At 44.8% G+C, this 15,508-nt stretch overlaps 2 pseudogenes; one reads left to right on the top strand and one right to left on the bottom strand.

The window, feature by feature from the left end:
- On the top strand, positions 249-4,245 carry ZSWIM5P3 (zinc finger SWIM-type containing 5 pseudogene 3; annotated as a pseudogene).
- A 1,500-nt stretch (positions 4,246-5,745) lies between these two features.
- On the bottom strand, positions 5,746-6,501 carry CDRT15P11 (CDRT15 pseudogene 11; annotated as a pseudogene).

Below are 15,508 nucleotides of genomic sequence, written 5' to 3'. Positions count from 1 at the left end.
AATGTGGGTTATGCAGAAGTGGAAAGAATGTTCTCCAGGACAGCAACTTTTTCCCGTTCTTCTTTTCAAGTGAACAAGTTAACCATGTGTAATGGTGATAAAAATAAAAAGCCGTCAAAGTATTTAATATGTAAAGACTATAAGGGAAAATATAAGTGTCCATGAGTATCATAATTATTTTAAACTCAGTTTTTAATAAAAGAAAATAAACTTTTTGTTTATTTCCTAATTTTTAAGAAGAGAAAACCTTGTGTCTTCTGATCTCTGAAACCCTTTCCCAGATGAATAGGGACCAGCTACAAAAGTTCATTGAATATTTAATCACGGCACACCACCACACTGAAGTTCTTCCTACCGCACAGAAACTGGCAGATGAGATTCTATCCTCCAACTCAGAAATCAACCAAGTGAACAGTGCTCCTGACCCCACAGCTGGGGCCAGCATTAACAATGAGAACTGTTGGCGTTTGGATGAAGAAGAGGTGAAAGAACAAGTGAAGCTTTTTCTCTCCCAGGGGGCTTAGTATGGCTCTGGAAAGCAACTCAACTCAATATTTGCCAAGGTTCGAGAAATGCTGTGGATGAGAGATTCCAATGGAGCAAGGATACTGATGCTAATAACTGACCAGTTTATGGCTGACCCATGACTCACACTCTGGAGTCAGCAAGGAACAAGCCTGACAGGTAAAGTCAGGCAACTCTGGCATGAGCTAGGGCTCTATGGGTGTGCATAACTTTAAATCCACACTGCAAACTGGAGGAGAAATCCTGCTGGCTGCAGCTGCTGCAGAAGTGGAGCGACCTGGATGTCTGTCCCCTGGAGGATGGAAACTATGGACATGAGCTGTCCAACATCACCAATGCACTTCCCCAGAATGCCATTCACAGCCCAGACTCCTTATCCAGACCAAGATGAACGATATTCACAAGGGCCATTGAGGGCCATGAATTACACTGACAGGACAGCCACCTACAGCGAATAATCAGCAGTGATGTTTACACAGCTCCTGCCTGCCGGCAGGAAAGTGAAAGAGTACTCTTTAATTCCCCAAGCCAGCCACTGTGCCTTGAGCATGTGCCTACAGCCTGTGCTCAGGTTGATTCCCTACGTTCCCATGGTTATCCAAAAGAGGCCCTCAGACTCACAGTGACCATTATTAATACTCTGAAGCTGCAGCAACAGCGGCAACTGGAAATCTGCAAGCATCAGAAGAAAGAATTGTTGCAGAGAGGAACGACAACCATCACAAACCTGGAGGGCCAGGTGGGCCACCCCCGATCCCATTGGCTGCCTGTTTCTCACTTTGACCGAGGCCTGCTGCCTGAATGATGACGGCTATCTGGAGATGTCAGATATGAATGAAAGCAGACCCCCTGTGTACCAACATGTACCTGTGGCTGCAGGCTCCCCAGACAGTAGTAAGTCCTACCCGTCATTGGCCCTGGAAGTTGCATTGATGGACCTGGGTCGACAGAGGATAATGCCTGAATACCTCTACGCACAGGACAAGGTGTCCCATAATGAAGAGCAGCTCCTAAGCCAACTCCAAGAGCTGCAGCTTGACGATAAGCTAGTGCAAACACTGCAAACAGTGTATCTTACTGCTGGAAGGGGGCCCTTTCAGCAGTCTGGGAGAAGTCATTCACTAAAAGAGTGTTCCCATGCATACATACCTTTGCCAAGTATTTGTTCTCAGCTCTGCTGTCTCATGGTCCAGACCTGTCCTATAAATTAGCCTGACGTGCCATGAGGTTACCTGCTTTAGAAAACTCAGCTTCTGGCCAGGCACGGTGGCTCATGCCTATAATCCCAGCACTTTGGGAGGCTGAGGTGGGTGGATCATCTAAGGCCAGGAATTCAAGACCAGCCTGGCCAACATGGAGAAACCCCATCTCTACTAAAAATACAAAAAAAAAAAAAAAAAAAATTAGCCAGGTATGGTAGCAGATGCCTGTAATCCCAGTTACTCAGGAGGCTGAGACAGGAGAATCACTTGAACCCAGGAGGCAGAGGCTGCAGTGAGCTGAGATCATACCATTGCACTTCAGCCTGGGCAAAAAGAGTGAAACTCCATCTCAAAAAAAAAAAAATGAAAGAAAGAAAACTCAGCTTCTGTAGGTGACACATCCCACCCTCACCATATGGAATCACAGCAGTGTGAACCGGCCTCTGCCATGCTGACTGCTGCCAAAAGAGACACTGAGATTCTGAACAATTCTGGAAGCAATACAGAATCAAAGCACATTCATTCTTCCTTCCTCATCTTCAAACTGGCCCAAATGCATTCAAGATTGCTATTCCCACTGACAGTAGTACTGACAGCACCCTGCTCAACGTGGCCCTGGGACTTGGTTTACAGGTGATGCAGATGACCTTATCAATCCTTAACTGGAGATGCCAGGAGGTAGTAGTGTGGTTGGTGACCTGTGCTACAGAAGTGGGTGATTCTCCCACCTCCATCTACAACCAGGAAAAAGGAATTTCTAGGCCCTACTCTTGGGATGGAACAATGAATCCTTAGAGCTTTCATATTCCTATTCCTAATGGCCTAAGAAAGGATGGGGCTGATGGTGGGAGAAGATGGCCTCTGTTCAGCCAGCCCAAGCCCTGTTCTCACTGCTTGAACCATATCCTGATGTCAGCAGAACTTTGAACCTCTCATCAGAGACATATCTAAGAGAGTGAATTTTCAGCTGCCAATACTCAAGTGCTCCCTTGGGAGGTAGTGGGCCAGGTGGTTTCATCCCTATCCCTGTCCATGCTTGTGAGAAACCCTAGACAACTTGGAGGCTCAGGACCCTTTCTAAAGCCCAAAGCCCCAGCACAAGACTCTACCCTGAGAAGCCTCACTTCAGCTAGAACCCCTGGCAGATCTCCAACCCTGTCCTGGGGGCAAGCAAACCACAGGCTCCACTGCTCCATCCTTGTGAGAGGCTAACAGCACCTGAAGAAAACTTCAACCTCCTGACCGGGGAAGGAAGGGTTAGCAAGAGACCTCAAACAGGGTCGGGCCATCTGGGATGCTCCCCTTTCCCTGGTTTGCCTCAGATCATCTCAAACTTGCTGAGGAGGAGGGAGAACTCATCTATGCAGGCCAAGTTCAAACTCCAAATGGTAATCTGGGCAGACCTGAATCAGGACCCAGATAGCACGGCTGAGCTCAGGCTCTCCCTGACATGTGTGCGGGCCCTGTTGATCATCTTGCAGAGCTGGTACACACTCTTCACTTCTGCTGAGGCTACTAGTATTGTAGCTACCACAGCTGTATCCCACACCACTATCCTGCGCCTCAGTCTTGACTATCCACAGCGGGAGGAAGTGGCTAGGTGTGCTCACACACTGGCCCTGCAGTATGCTATGAAGCATCCACAGAACTGTGCCCCTGTCAGCGCTTACACTCTGTGAGGAAGACCACATTGCCTTTGAGGCAGCCTACCAGATTGCCACTGATGCTGAAGTTGATGGCATGAGCCATTCACAGCTGTTCACCATCACCCGCTACATGGGGTTCCGTGGCTACCCGCTCCATGCCTTCAAGCTGGCCTTATCGGCCATGAGCCATCTTAACCTGGCCTACATCCAGGATACCCACACAGCCACACAGCCATCAATGATGTGCTCTGGGCTTGTGCCCTCAGCCACTCTCTGGGCAAGAATGAGCTGCCAGCTCTCATCCCCCTGGTGATAAAGAGTGTGCACTGTGCCATAGTGCTTCCAGACATCCTGTGTGCGACACTGCACAATGACTGCACCTGGCCTGGCTGGCACTCCAGGCTGCTGTAGCTCTGGAAAGTTCATGTCCATTGACAAATCTCCATTGTGCCAGTTGCCAATGATGCTGATGACACCATCAATACTTATATCAACACTACACACTCATGCCTACCACACATCAGCTCTTGCCACTATGGAAAGTTCATTGAATTTCTGAGCAAGGCTCTGGAGACCCTCCTGCTGCCCCAGGATGACCACCTGCAATTTGCCCAGTTCATCGACAACCTCAAATAAATCTACAAAGACAAGAAAAAGCTGATGCTGCTGGTGCGAGAGCGCTTTGCCTGAGGAAGCAGATAGCTCACCACCAGGGCAGACTGGGTCCCCAGGTAGGATCAGGTCAGGCCAAGGACACTGAAACATTTGTCCATGAATGTGTCCTTTCTTTTTGCCAGATTTCTCTTCCCCATTCCTCTTAAATCTCTCTCACCACCTAAACGTTTGTTCCCCATCTCTGTGCCTCCTCTATTCATTCTCTCACCAAATGAGCTTCTAAGCACCAGTCTCCGTCTGCCATCAGATTAGCTGCTTTAGGTGCACAGTTCTCTTCTCACCCCGTACTTGCTTTCTTCCCCTGCCTTTCTATCTCAGTCTTCCTCTGCCTACTTTTGCCACAGTCTCATTGCTCGCTGACTTGGAGGCTAGGGCTGGTCTGCACTTAGCCTCTCCCTTCCTGACTAATTTCTAGACCCAGTGGGCAGCCCTGTCTTAGCCCTGGCTGACCTCCACAGTGTATCATCATGTTCCTGCTACCTTCCTGACCCCTATGCTCAGTCTGGAATTGTTGTAGGAGGTAACAAGGGCACTCAGAAGAGTCAGTTGGATACCAGTGTCTTGGTGTTTACTGTTTCACGTCTTCATTCCTGAGTTGGGGATGGGGTGTGACAGAGAAGGGGTGGTCTAGCTAGAATGCAAACTAAGAACTTCTCCATCTGCTTTACTTTTTCTTCTTTGACAAACTGTTACCTTTTTTACTCCAAAATGACCAAGAAGTTGTGTTAACCGTTTGTGGCTCCTCAAGTCTTACCATCCAGCCAAGGGCCACTACAATGTCTCAGCCCAATGTGTTGGTTAAAAAAGAGAAAGAGAGAAGCCACTCTCCTGTCTGTATCACAATTGCCCTTTTTTGGCAAGTGTGTGAACTCACAGTGCTTTTCTATGAATAAACCATGGATCACATAAAAGATCATTTTTCTGAAAGAAAAAGAAAATCCTAAACCCAGAAGGGACCAGCAAATAATTATAGAAGATTATAGATTTCCTGTGAGTGCATATGGATCAGGATGACCTGATGCTATAAACTCAAATTCATGTGTTGAAATCTTATTCCCTATGTGATGGTATTTGGGGGTGGGGCCTTGGGAGGTGATTAGGTCAAGAAGGCAGAGACTTCATGAATGAGATTCATGCCCCTATTAAAGGACCACAGAGAGCTCCTTCATCTCTTCTGTCATGTGAGGACACGGTAGAAACATGACTGTCTATGAACGAGGAAGCCAGCCCTCACCAGACACAGAATCTGCTGACCACTTCAGCTTGGGTTTTACCATCTCCAGAACTGTAAGAAATAAATTTGTTTGTACGCTACCTAGTCTATGACCTTCTGTTTTGGCCCCTAGATTAGCTAAAGTGCCAACATATCAACTTGTACACATAATTTGTGGAAACTCTGATGCCAAATCTTTGATGGCAAAAGGTGATTGGTCTGCTGGAGAAATTAACCTACATGATCCCTCTTTTCACAATAAACCAGACAGTCAAAACAGGCAAAAGTAGGTCAAGGTCTTCTAAAAGCCATACCTGAAAGGTTTCCAATGACAGTTGATTCGATAGTAATTCAATCACACAAACAACCACAACAAAAACACACAACTATCAGAGATTTTCAGGATAGCCTCAAGAACACCATCTCACATGAGTTAAGAAGGCATGAAGTTTCAAAAAGTCAAACTTTATTAAAATGTCATTTTAGAAACTTGTAATTCTGATATTATGAATAAATCTTAGGACAGGTGGCGGCATGGAGACCCCAGGGCACAAGTGGTGAATTTGGAAGCTTCAGTTCCTATATCCTTTGGAGATGCCCCCCTGGCCCCTGCATCCCCCACCCACCTGTCAAGAAGAGCCCATCCTTGGCAGCACATCAGGGACAAACAGCCCAGATGCCCAGTTGAGGACAGACGTCCATGCCTGGAGGAAGAGACCACCTCTGGGGGCAGGAGGAGCTGCTGGAACGCCTCCTCACAGGCTCCTTTTCCTGCTCTGTAGCACTTTTTGCAGGCAGATATACAACCCCAGCAGCAGTAGCCCAAGCAGGTCCTGCAGGAGCACAGCAACAGCTCTGTTTAATGAGAGAAGCTTCTCTCCAGCGAGGCAGAAGAGCCCAGGCTGCACACCCTGGTCTCCACCTCCATGACTCCCACTGTGCCCAGGACCAGGAGCAGTGTGGGAGCTGCTGGCTGGGGCCATGTTGGCCACCCCATCTCTGCCACCTCTAGCTCCAGCCACACTTTCAGATCCAGGGCTGAGGCCAGTGGCTACAGTAGGTGCCATGATGTCAGGCAGCTCCTCATTGGGCTGGTCCTTGGCTGTACCAGGGCAGCAGCAAGAGGGCTGTGGAACTTCCTCTAGCTCCAGCACTGTCCCTGAGGGCGCTCTTCCCCTGGTGCTGGCACTGGCTTAACAGTGCTGGAAGTACCTGTATTGCTGCATATGGAGCAGGAGCTGAAAAAGGAGAAAGGGTCACAAACATCAGTCACTTTCCAGTGGAATTTCCAAACACAAAAACAACCTCATTGAATTTAAAGGAATTCAGCCTGAAAATACCACCCCCAGAAAGTCTTCCAGACTGCAAGCCACCTCACATGTGCCTGTGCCTCGAGGGGCTCCAGAGGCTCCAACCAGATGAGGACAAGGACAACGTGCAGATGAGGCCCTGATGGGATCACTAGTGAGGCCTGCCCTAAGGTACCTGGGGTGCCTTCAGTCAAATGGCCAGAGGTGTCTGGGGTGAGGGATGAGCCTTCATCGACATCATCAGAAAAGGCTCTCACTCCCGCCATTCCTGAAGCAGGAGCCTCAAGATGTGGGGATGCGGCATGAGAACAGCTTCCTCTCCTGAGCGACTCCCACCAAGTGAGCTGGCTACAGGGCTGAGTCTAAGATATGGGCGCCTGGTTACCAGAGTTATCTTCTTCTGTTCAGGTCTGTCATCAAGGAAGTGAGGTCGCTTAAGTTTCCATCCTCTTGGCCCCTTCCTTCCATAAGACCTGCTCAGGACCCCACTGAGGTGCTGACTGTTCACCCTCCCCCCAGGTCAACTCCTTACCTATACATAGTTATGTCTACCCAGGGCCTGCTTGTATGCCTGCACCTGATGTCCACCAGGAGCCAGATGTTCTCCTCAGGCCTGATTTCCACCTGGGGCTTGTGTGTCCACCTGGGCCTGATGTCTGCCTTGGGCTTATGTCCCACTTGGGACCTTGTGTTCACCTGGAGACTGGTATCCAGCTGGGGCCTGATGGCCTACTGGATCCTGTTGTTCACCTGAGGCCTGGTGTCCACCTGGGGCCTGGTAATCACCTCGGACCTGGGGATCAACCTGGGGCTTGGGTGTCCACTTAAGGCCTGATATGCACCTAAGGCCTCAGTTTTCACCGGGGTCCTGATGATCACCTGGGGACTGTGTGTCTAATGTCCACCTGGAGCCTATGTATCTACCTAAGGCATGGTAGATGTCTACATGAGTCTGGTATTCAACATGGGCCTAATGTCCACCAAGGGCCTTGCTGTCTATTTGGGACCTGGTTGTCAACTTGGCACCTGATGTACACCTTGAGTCCAGTGTCCACCTGGGACCTGATGTCTACCTGGAGGACTGGTGTCTTTCTGAGGCGGGAGGATCCCTGGGCCCCAGGAGGTCAAGGCTGCAGTGAGTTGTGATTGTGCCACTGCACTCCAGCCTGGGTGACAGAGTGAGACCCTGTCTCAAACAAATAAACAAACAAAAAACCACACAAATTATATAGCTGTACAAAAATATTTTATTTCTTTATAACCTTATTCTACAAGCTTTTTTCTATTATTTATTTATTTTACTTTTAAAACTTTTTTATAAAACCAAGACACAAACACAAACAGGGTCAGTATCATCAATAGCACTGTCCTCCACCTCCACATCTTGTCCCACTGGAAGGTCTTCAGGGGCAGTAACATGCATAGAGTAATGGGGGAACCTGCCCCCAATATTTCAACATAGGTTCTTTCTATTTTCCGAAAGTGTCAGCCGGCTGAGAAATAAAGAGAAAGAGTACAAAACGAGGAATTTTACAGCTGGGCTGCCGGGGGTGACATTACATATAGGTAGGATGGTGATGCCCACCTGAGCCTCAAACCAGCAAGTTTTTTATTAAGGGTTTCAAAAGGGGAGGGGGTGTAAAAACAGAGAGTAGATACAAAGATCACATGCTTCAAAGGGCAAAAAGCAGAACTACTGATAAGGGTCTATGTTCAGTGGTGTACATATTGTCTTGATAAACATCTTAAACAACAGAAAACAGGGTTCGAGAGCAGAGAATTGGTCTGATCACAAATTTACCAGGATGGAGTTTTTCTCCACGCTAGTAAGCCTGAGGGTACTGCAGGAGACCCAGGGCATATCTCAGTCCTTATCTCAACCACATAAGACAGACACTCCCAGGGTGGCCATTTATAGACCTCCCCACAGGAATGCATTCCTTTCCCAGGGTATTAATACCAATATTCCTTGCTAGGAAAATAATTTAGTGATATTTCTCCTACTTGTACATCTGTTTATAGGCTCTCTGCAAGTAGAAAAATATGGCTCTTTTTGCCTGACCCCACAGGCAGTCAGACTTTATGGTTGTCTTCCCTTGTTCCCTAAAAATTGCTGTTATTCTGTTCTTTTTCCAGGTGCACTGATTTCATATTGTTCAAACACACATGTTTGACAATCAATTTGTACAGTTAACACAATTATCACAGTGGTCCTGAGGTGACGTACATCATCAGCTTACAAAGATAACAGGATTAAGAGATAAAAGTAAAGACAGGCATGAGAAATTATAAAAGTATTATTTGGAAACTGATAAATGTCCATATTAAAATGAAATCTTCACAATTTATGTTCCTCTGCCGTGGCTCCAGCCGGTCCCTCCGTTCGGGGTCCCTGACTTCCCACAACAATGGAGTTGTCATCTCCTATGATAATAATGCCTTCTTCTGGAAACCTCCTGAAGGACCTGCCTGAGGTTGTTTCATAGTTAACTTAAAAAAAAATAAGTAGTAAGCATATACTCTAAAATAACAATACAAACTGTAGAATAGTAAATACATAGAACATTAACATCATCATTTGTTATTTTCATCAAGCATTATGCACCATACATAATTTTATGTTCACACCCACATCACCACAAACATGTAAGTAATGCATAACACTGTGACATTACAACAGATGTTGTAATGATGGTGCTATATGTGATAGTTCCATTATAATCTTATGGGACCACTGTCTTATGTGTGGTCTGTTGTTGACCAAAATGTCATTATGCAGTGCAGGACTGTATTTGAAAATGGTACAAATATACTCAGAAATACACGAAAGATGTCTAGGCACAGTGGCTCATGCCTGTAATCCCAGCACTTTGGGAGGCCAAGGCGGGCAGACCACCTGAGGTTGGGAGTTCAAGACCACCCTGACCAACATGGAGAAACCCTGTCTCTACTAAAAATACAAAATTAGCCGGGCGTGGTGGCACATGCCTGTAATCCCAGCTACTCAAGAGGCTGAGGCAGGAGAATCACTTTAACCTGGGAGGCGGAGGTTGCAGTGAGCCGAGATCACGCCTTTCACTCCAGCCTGGGCAACGAGAGTGAAACTCTGTCTCAAAAAAACAAAAAAAGAAAAGAAATACATGAAAGATGGAACATTAGGGCAACAACAAAAGACATGGAAATTTTATTTTATGCCTTATTTTATACCAGGAAGTTGACATCAATGTCATTAAGGTTTGAGGTTCTGATTAGTGGAACTTAGAGAGATTAGGGACAAATGAAAAAGAATAAAGAAATGTTATTTTTTTCTGTGATCCCCATAAAATTACTCAATATGGAATCAATGAAATTTCTGCAGCTTTGATTAGACAGATAGATGATAAGTAGATGATAGATCAACAGAGATAGAAATGGGTAGATAGACAGACAGACAGATAGAGATGTGATCATGATTCTTCACTTAACCAAACTTTAGTCAGGCTCTTAAACCTTTTCCTAAGTCCATCTGTATTTCCTTGTAAGATTCACTTTTAGGAAGAACCCTCCACCCTGGATGCCTCATCACCCTGAATGTCTCATCTCGCTGGATATCTGATAGGGCTCCTCATCCCTTGCCATTATATGAACATGATGGAAATTGCTGTTTGGGGATTGCTTCTCATCTCATTCCATCCCCTTGCAATTCCTTCAGTGGCTGGAACACAGACTATTGGGGGCAGAGTGCCGACCTGGCTCCCCTGCTCTGAGCCAGGCTATTCTCCTGATTTCTCTACACCTCTTGTGTCTTGACCTATAACATGGGAACATTAATAATAAATGGCTGTTATTAATTAATACATGTATGCATTAGAACGTATCATAAGCACTGTGTGAATATTGGCTGTTATTGTTTCTTCTGTACTCTCTACAGACTCAATTTCATTCATTAATCCCACTATTGAAGAACCCTAAGTTGGCCCAAGGCTTCCCTACAAGAAAGTACAGTGTGATTAAGATCTTGGCTCCTGTCTTCTGTGGCCCGGTGGTGACACCTGGGGTGCTGTACTCAGTAGTGGGAGTTCCGGGTCAGGGGAAAATATGTATCCTGAACAGGTGTGACAATTTGCTGGCCAGAGGAGCTGTGCTGGTCACAATTTCACCAGCCATAGATTAAAGTCCTATTGCCTCACATTCTCACCAGCATTTAACATTATTTGATGTTATACTTTATTCCCTAACAGGAATATATTTTATTTATAGGACAGAATGGTTATTTGTCAGTTAGAACATTTTTCATATGCTTATTTGTCTCTTCAGTTTCCCTGTCTATAAAGTGCCTGTTCATTTCGTTTGCTAATTTTCCTTTTGGTTTTCATAGCTGATTTGTAGGAAGTCTTTGTATTGCTTACTGCTTCTAATTGTTGTGTGAGTTTTCTCAATCTAACCTCTTTCTTTCCAGTTTGTCTATCACGACCTCCCCTGAACATGGAGCTGCTATTCCATTGTAGTCAAATCTAATAATATTTTTCATTCTGATCAGAACTTTGGGGTCTTGATTAGAGAATCTTTTCCCCTGCCCAATATCACAAAGATGTTTCACCACATTTTCTCATTTAAGTTTTTAAATTTTTTTAAGTTTTATTTTTACACTGAAGCTTGTAAAGCCTTAGTCCACTCCCATTTTAGAGGGAAAGGTGACTAGGGAGAAGATAGAAACCAACAGATCATCTACTATACTCAAAATTGATTTTGGGGTTAAGAGTCCTAAGGCAAAGGTTCTTTATCTTCTTCTATGGAAGAGAGGGGGACAATCTTATAGAGGACAGAGTGAAAGAAAGAAGAAAGGATCATGGGATGACTCCATCTGGGAAAACAGTGACAGGAGGTGGTTTCCATGTCTCCAGGATTCTTGTGGCCAATCTTTCTGGATTAAGCCCATGAAAGGATGCCAACTAACTGGGCGATTATTGGAGCCACTGACACTGTTTACATGTGCCAGCAGCCACAAGACCCAAAAGCCTAGCCCCAATAATTAAATTGACAAAAACTGTTACCATATGGTGCCAGAAAGAGCCAGGATGGGGACAGAATCTGGTGGCCCAGTAGCGTTGTTGGCACCTGTGACGAAACCTAGCCAGGTACTTACTGGATATCTCATTTACTTCACAATCATGTGTCCCCACATTACAGGCAGTTGAAATGTGTGGGTCCCTCTTATGTATTATAATGAAATTTTGCAAAAACTAGAGACCTTGGTATTTAAAATTTTTTTTCACAGTGAACATGGTCAGTTCCCAAGAAGTAAATTTCAGACAAATTGTAAACATCATATATAATATTTTATTTATAATTTTTGGACAATCAAGGAAAGAGGGAAGATGTTATAAGTAATAGTCATGAGAATGAACTCTAGTACAGCTTCCTGTGCTAGAGTCTCAGCTGTCATTTATCAGCTCTCTGGACTTTGGCAAGTCACATAACTTCTCTGAGTCTCAGTTTCCTCATTTATAAAATACGGATAATGAAAATACTCACCTTATAAGGTTGTTCCAAAAAATTAAGTGAGAAAATGCATATAAAGTACTTGGCAATAGTAAGTGCTCAATAGATATAAAATATTATTGTTTACACAGTACCTAGTCTATACAAGCATTTGTAGTACATTATCTTGCATAAAATATATCTAACATTTATTTGATGCATGTTTTAAAATAAATTTAAGAGTGCTCTTTTTGGTAAATATTTCTTCATCATAGCTTACCTTTGTAAATAGGCGTGTGATTTTTATAAGCAATTTTCAAGATTGTTTTCAAGTCTTTTGGTAGCCAATAAATAATTACAATTAATATTCATATATGTGTCTGGTTTGGGGGGAGTTTCTAGAAAATCTGAACTGAAGAGCTTAAGATTATTTTAAAAACCAAATAAAACAGATGAGTAAATTAAAACGTCTGTTAAAGAACAACAAAAAAAAGAAAGATGAAACGATCTTTAAAAACTTTTAGTCCCTAAAAATATAGAAGCTATCATGAATTTCTACAAGAATATTTGATATGACACCGTATTTGATATAACACTGTAACCTAAAGAATGACAGAAAAAAGTCATTCCAAAGCACTCAATCAATTTTCCTATCCCCATGTAAGTCTGGGTTAGAGTTAGGCTATGACGTGATTTTTGAAAACTTGGTAAAAACATATTTACAGAACAGAGGCATATTTTCATATCTGGATAAAATATGTGCTATTCAAAATTGAAACTTAATTCTCTATAGTTAAGGAGGAATAAAAGAAAAAGGAATTATCATAATGTGCACACAATTGCTTTCAAGTTATGATACCCACTCAGTGTCATTTACTCTACTGAACCCAACTTATAATTATTAAACACCTTTAACATGCAAAATATATCTGAAGGACTCTCAATAACACAAAAAATATAAGGCAATTTAAAAATATTTTAGGCAAGATGGCTAAATAGGAACAGCTCCAGTCTGCAGCTCCCAGCAAGATCCACGCTGAAGGTGGGTGATTTCTGCATTTCCAACTGAGGTACCCGGCTCATCTCATTGGGACTGGTTAGACAGTGGGTGCAGCCCATAGAGGGCGAGCAGAAGCAGGGTGGGGCATCACCTCACCCGGAAGGACAAGGGGTTGGGGAGCTCCCTCCCCTAGCCAAGGGAAGCTGTGAGGGACTGTGCCATAAGGAACAGTGCATTCCAGCCCAGACATGACGCTTTCCCATGGTCTTCACAACCCACAGACCAAAAGATTCCCTTGGGTGCCTACACCACCAGGGCCCTGGATTTCAAGCACAAAACTGGCAGCCGTTTAGGCAGACACTGAGCTAGCCACAGGAATTTATTTTCATACCCCAGCAACACCTGGAACACCAGCAAGAAAGAACCATTCACTCCTCTGGAAAGGGGGCTGAAGCCAGGGAACCAAGTGGTCTAGCTCAGCGGATCCCACTCCCACGGAGCCCAGCAAGCTAAGATCCACTGGCTTGAAATTCTCACTGCCAGCACAGCAGTCCGAAGTCGACCTGGAATGCTCAAGCTTGGTGGAGGGAGGGGGGGTCCGCCATTACTGAGGCTTGAATAGGCAGTTTTCTCCTCACAGAGTAAACAAAGCCACTGGGACGTTCAAACTGGATGGAGCTCACCACAGCTTTGCAAAGCTGCTGTAGCCAGACTGCCTCTCTAGATTCCTCCCTTCTGGGTAGGGCATCTCTGAAAGAAAGGCAGTAGCCCCAGTCAGGAACTTATAGATAAAACTCCCATCTCCCTGGGACAGAGCACCTAGAGGAAGGGGCCCTTGTGGGAACAGCTTCAACAGACTTAAACGTTCCTGCCTGCTGGCTCTGAAAAGAACAGTGGGTCTTCCAGCACAGCACTCGAGCTCTGCTAAGGGAAAGACTCAAGTGGGTCCCTAACACCCATGCCTCCTGACAAGGACACACCTCCCAGCAGGGGTTGACAGAAACCTCACACAGGAGAGCTACAGCTGGCATCTGGCAGGTGCCCCTCTGGGAAGAAGCTTCCAGAGGAAAGAACAGGCAGCAATCTTGGCTGTTCTGCAGCCTCCGCTGGTGATACCCAGACAAACAGAGTCTAGAGTGGACCACCAGCAAACTCCAGCAGACCTGCAGCAGAGGGGCCTGACTGTTAGAAGGAAAACTAACAAACAGAAAGGAATAACATCAACATCAACAAAAAGGACATCCACGCAGAAACCCCATCTCAAGGTCACCAACATCAAAGACCAAAGGTAGATAAATCCATACAGATGAGGAAAAACCAGCGCAAAAAGGCTGAAAATTCCAAAAACCAGAACGTCTCTTCTCCTCCAAAGGATCACAACTCCTCTCCCGCAAGGGAACAAAACTGGACAGAGAATGAGTTGATAAATTGACAGAAGTAGGGTTCAGAAGGTGGGTAATAACAAACTCCTCCAAGCTAAAGGAATGTGTTCTAACCCAATGCAAGGAAGCTAAGAACCTTGAAAAGAGGTTAGAGGAATTGCTAACTAGAATAACCACTTTAGAGAAGAACATAAATGACCTAATGGAGCTATAAAACACAGCACAAGAACTTCGTGAAGCATACACAAGTAACAATAGCCAAATCGATCAAGCAGAAGAAAGGCTATCAGAGATTGAATATCAACTTAATGAAATAAAGCGGGAAGACAATAGTACAGAACAAAGAATGAAAAGGAACAAACAAACCCTCCAAGAAATGTGGGACTATGTGAAAAGACCAAACCTACGTTTGATTGGTGTACCTGAAAGTAATGGGAAGAATGGAACCAAGTTGGAAAACACTCTTCAGAACATTATCTCGGAGAACTTCCCCAACCTAGTAAGACAGGCCAAATTTCAAATTCAGGAAATACAGAGAAAACCACAAAGATACTCCTTGAGAAAAGCAACCCCCAGATACATAATCGTCACCACCAAGGTTGAAGTGAAGGAAAAAATGTTAAGGGCAACCAGAGAGAAAGGTCAGGTTACCCACAAAGGGAAGCCCAACAGACTAACAGCAGATCTCTCTGCAGAATCCCTACAAGCCAGAAGAGAGTGGGGAAACAATAGTCAACATACTTAAGTAAAGAATGTTCAACCCAGAATTTCATATCCAGCCAAACTAAGCTTCATAAGGGAAGGACAAATAAAATCTTTTACAGACAAGCAAATGCTGAGAGATTTTGTGACTGCCAGGCCTGCCTTACAAGAGCTCCTGAAGGAAACACTAAATATGGAAAGGAAATACCAGTACCAGCCACTGCAGAAACATACCAAACTGTAAAGACCATCGACACTATGAAGAAACTGCATCAACTAATGGGTAAAATAACCAGCTAGCATCGTGATGACAGGATCAAATTCACACGTAAGAATATTAACCTTAAAGGTAAATGGGCTAAATGCTCCAATTAAAAGACACAGACTAGCAAA

Source organism: Homo sapiens, chromosome 4, assembly GCF_000001405.40.
Source record: "Homo sapiens chromosome 4, GRCh38.p14 Primary Assembly".
NCBI lineage: Eukaryota > Metazoa > Chordata > Mammalia > Primates > Hominidae > Homo > Homo sapiens.
This window is presented reverse-complemented; position numbering and strand designations above follow the sequence as displayed.